Genomic DNA, 4,845 nt, shown 5'->3' on the forward strand with positions numbered 1-4,845 from the left:
TATCTAGGAATAATTTGCATAACATATAATGAAGACAACTGTAAACCTATATGTAAGGATGAAAAAAAGACCTGAATACCTGTATATATAATATTATACAGATATCACCTTTCTTACTCCCCAGCCATCTTGGCAGCTGCTCTTGACTGGGGCCATCCCAACCAAGGAGATGAAAAATTCACTGGAGTCAATTAATTATCGGCTCCAACTCATGAAAAGTGGAAAGTACATGCTGGGGTACAAGCAGACTTTAAAGATGATCAGACAAGGCACAGCAAAATTGGTCATCCTTGCTTACAACTGCCCAGCTTTGCGGAAATCAGAAGTAGAGTACTATGCAATGTTGGCCAAAATTGGTGTCCATCACTACAGTGGCAATAATATTGAACTGGGAACAGCATGCGGAAAATACTACAGAGTATGCACACTGGCGCTCACTGATCCAGGTGATTCTGCTATCATTAGAAGCATGCCAGAACAGACTGGTGGAAAGTAAACTATGCAAAATTTTCCTTTAATAAAACTTGCCAAGCTTGTTTTTTCTAAAAAAAAAATACATTATAAAGATATCAATTGTATGCCAATTTATTATCTAAGTATAATCGCATCAAGTACTCAGAGAAAAAATATGTTTAGAATTGAAAGGCTGATCCTAATTTTTTCTGGAAGAGTAAATAAGTAAGAATGCTGACTTTTAAAGCAAAAGAAAAATAAAGATGATTTTCCATGCCAGATATCAAAATACATTACAAAATTATAGTAATTAAACAAAAATGTATTGGCATAGGACTAAAAAGATAGTTCACTAAACAGAAGAGAGAATCCAGCAATAGACCCATGTTTTCATGGGAACTGTAGTGCATACTGATGAAAGAATTTCAAATCAATTCTGGTAGAACATAAGGGAAAAATAATCAAATGAGATTCCTACCTCACACTATACTGCAAAATAAATTCCCAATTTTATTTTATTTTATTTTATTTTTTTTTGAGACAGAGTCTTGCTCTGTCATCCAGGCTAGAGTGCAGTGGTGCAATCTTGGCTCACTGCATCCTCCGCCTCCGGAGTTCAAGCGGTTCTCCTGTCTCAGCCCCTCGAGTAGCTGGGATTACAGGTGCATGCCAGCATGCCTGGCTAATTTTTTTACTTTTAGTAGAGATAGGGTATCACCATGTTGCCCCAGGCTGGTCTCGAACTCCTGACCTCAGGTGATCCACCTGCCTCGATTTTCCAAAGTGCTAAGATTATAGGCGTGAGCCACTGCGCCCGGCCATAAATTCCAATTGAATTAAATCATAAGATTAAAAATTTTGACAAATATGAGGAAACCATAAGAATATGTATGTACTTTTTTTTTGGAGACAGTCTTGCTCTGTCACCCAGGTGCAATCTATGCTCACTGCAACCTCTGCATCCCCGGGTTCAAGCAATCCTCCCACCTCAACCTTCCGAGTAACTGGGATTATAGGTGTGCACCACCACTCCCGGCTATTTTTTGTATTTTCAGTAGTGATGGGGTTTCACCATGTTGGCCAGGCTGGTCTCTAACTCCTGACCTCAAGTGATCTTCCCTCCTTGGCCTCCCAACGTGCTGGGACTACAGGAATGTGCCACCTCGCCCAACCCGAATATATATGTACTCTTAAGGAAATATCATTCCTAAACAAGATAGAAAACTTAGAAGCCTGCTCCTTTTGTAGCTCATGAGCGATGATGATTGGGTGTTCACATGCATCTGTGAAATGCACTACAATCTTGTCACATTACCCATCTGACCTGAACTTGGGGAGGAAAAAAAAAACAACTCAGAAGCCACAAGGAACACAAGGAAACAACGGACAGATATAACTACATGATGCTTTCAATTTTTCTGCCCAGGAAAAGATCACATAAACCATGTTTAATAAAAGACAAAACAGACTGAAAGGAGATAGGTGTAACATACAACAGAAAGGGATTAACTGCTATAATATGTAAAAACTGAAGAGTTCCTTCAATTAAATAATGAAAAGACAATCCAATATAATAAGGTAAAAGAATAAAAATGAACAAAATAAAAAGAAAAAAGTGATCAATGAATATAAAGATCAATAATTTTTTCATGATTTCCCACCGATTAAAGAAAATTGAACAATTGATAGTATGTAGTTTTGGTAAGGGTATAAGGAAAAGGGCATTTTCATCACTATGCATCTGAATATAAACAACCATAGCATTTCTGTGGGTCAGTGTGGCAACATTCATCAATATGTTAAAGATTATGCCCTTTGATGGAACAATGTTACTTCTAACAATCCATTCTACAAAAATACTTACACATGTGGACAAATATATATATGAATATTAATGATAGAATAGAGAAAAATTTTAAACAACCTGAACATTCATCAATGAAAGAAATGACTAAGTAAGTTTTAATATTTCCATATGAACAATGAAACACTATATGGCTGTTTAAAAGAATTAGGTTGTTTTATATATACTCCTAGGGAAATTCTTCAAGATATAAAGTGCAAAAAAGAAGTCAGAAAGCAATCTAGATAGATTGCATCTAGATTGCATACAATAATGTCATTCATCCCATTTGTAAAACTCATGTATATATCTGTGCATGAGCAAGCATGGGAATAAAATAAAGCCTGAAAAAATACACTACAACTTGCTAACAGGAGGTAGAATTCTTAAAAAGGATCAATGAAAAGGAATTTACTTCAGTTATTTTATATACTCCTGTTCTATTTGAAAACGTTACAAGAATGCATTTTTTTCTCATTAAAATTTTTAATGGAAAAAATAGGAGTTAGCAAACTGTACTATTAATGTTGTTCCTGCCTTATCCAGAACTACTTGGTAATATAAAAAACAGCAGAATTACAAAGTCCAGAACTTTCTTTTGTTACATGTTCATTTTGCCTCCTTAATTTTTGTATTTATGTAAATAACTATAGCTTTTATAAAGCTCAGCTACAAAGGTACTAAAAATTTTATCAAAGTTTTTTTCTGTACCCCTTTTAAATATACACGAAGCCAACTTTTAAAGCTGGCTTTTTAATATAAGCATGATCTAAAAGTCCATAATTTTTCCCAGAGGACTGAATGCCTCCAGAGGACCTACCACTGTGGAAAAGATGCTGTGTCAAAATGATGCGGTGCAGCCATGCACTGGGCAGGACATCAACCTTGAAACACATGATACTGGTGACCACATAATGAGAATTCCATTCAAATTTGATGACTGATCTATGAAGTTCTAAGATTCTTGAGGGTTCTTTTAAATGCAGTTATCAGGCATCTGAAATCACTTTCTGCAACTTATCTGCAGTATAATCTAGAGAAAAATTTCCAGGCCTTGGTATCTATTTCATCATTCAAATGAAACTAATTCTCACCTGCCATTTATTATAAAGATTAAGTAAAACAATGGATCCAAAAATGCTTTGGAAGTTATGAAGTTGCTGTAAAACATTGTTTTTACCAATATATGAACAGTTGATCTTCCACAAATCAATTTGATATTCCTACCCCCACCCTTACCCTTGTATGGTCTGGACTCAGATTTGTTATCATTTAATGAGAACTTCCTATATTCAGGTCCTTAGGAAAAGTCTCAAACAGTTCTGGAAGGCAATGCTCCTATTACCCCCATTTCTCAGATGAGGAAGAAGATTAGGTACCTAACCCCAAGTCACAAAGCCAGGAAATAGTAAAGCCTAAATTCAAAGCTATTTATTTGATTCCAAAATTATTAACTGCTGCTCCTAACAGAGCACTGCCTCCCAGTATATTGATGTTTCATATCTTTTAATACCAATGAGGATAATAACTATTATGAGAATTATAATTGCTGTAAATTATCTCTTTTCAACAATTTTTTTTCAAAATTGGGAGAAAAGCAAGCCTACAAAAATAAAATTTGCATAGGTATTAACAAAATATTGCCCAAAGAAATTCAGGGTGTAAATAAATTATTAATATGCTACTGCTAACAAGATTGGTAATTAGCACTTAAGAAAAAAAAGAGAGAGAACAAGAGAACCCGAAGAAAGCTCATTTATCTATCTAGACTTTCTGTGAGAAGGATGAGGTTTCTTTTGTTTTGTTGTTGTTGTTGTTGTTGTTTTAAAATAGAGTCTGACTCTGTTGCCCAGGCTGGTGTGCAGTGGTGCAATCTCGGCTCACTGCAACCTCTGCAAGCGATTTTTGTGTTTCAGCCCCCCAAGTAGCTGGGATTACAGGCATGCGCCACCATGCCTGGATAATTTTTGTATTTTTAGTAGAGACAGAGTTTCGCCATGTTGGTCAGACTGGTCTCAAACTCACGACCTCAAGTGACCCTCCTGCCTCGGCCTCCCAAAGTGCTGGGATTACAGGCATGAGCCACTGCACCAGGCTGGATGAGATTTTTTTTTTTAATCTAATGTAAATTTTTTCAAAGTGCTGCTTACCCCCAGATAAACAGCAAGGCTGGCTCTCCTAGCTAAGTGCAGATGAAATGTCCAATTACATTAAACAGCTCTGGCTTGTAAAATATTTGAGGAAAAGCAGGGACTAAGAAAAGATAGCTTAAGAAATGCAAAATGTGGGGACACAGCATTTGCTTAATCACGTAAAAGTCTAAACGTTAATTAAAATTGACATTAATTAAGAACTATAATCCCACCTCCCTCAAGAGAGAGGCTGGCTTACTGGAAAGAAAGGACAACTTGGAATCACCAATTCTACAGGCCGTCTAGCGCCTTCAGTAATCCCTGGTCAGTGTCTCAGAATTCCTTTGGGAATTCTTCCCAAGGGAGGAGTCAAAAAATGGGTTCATTGCAAATGCTTACTTTACAAGTGAGTAATTT

General features: G+C 36.3%; 1 pseudogene; it reads left to right on the forward strand.

Annotated features, from left to right (window-relative positions):
• The first annotated feature begins 1,689 nt into the window (after window positions 1-1,689).
• LOC124901547 (uncharacterized) lies at window positions 1,690-1,778 on the forward strand (annotated as a pseudogene).
• Window positions 1,779-4,845: the final 3,067 nt, after the last annotated feature.

The sequence above is a fragment of the Homo sapiens genome, chromosome 6 (assembly GCF_000001405.40).
Source record: "Homo sapiens chromosome 6, GRCh38.p14 Primary Assembly".
Classification (NCBI taxonomy): Eukaryota; Metazoa; Chordata; class Mammalia; order Primates; family Hominidae; genus Homo; species Homo sapiens.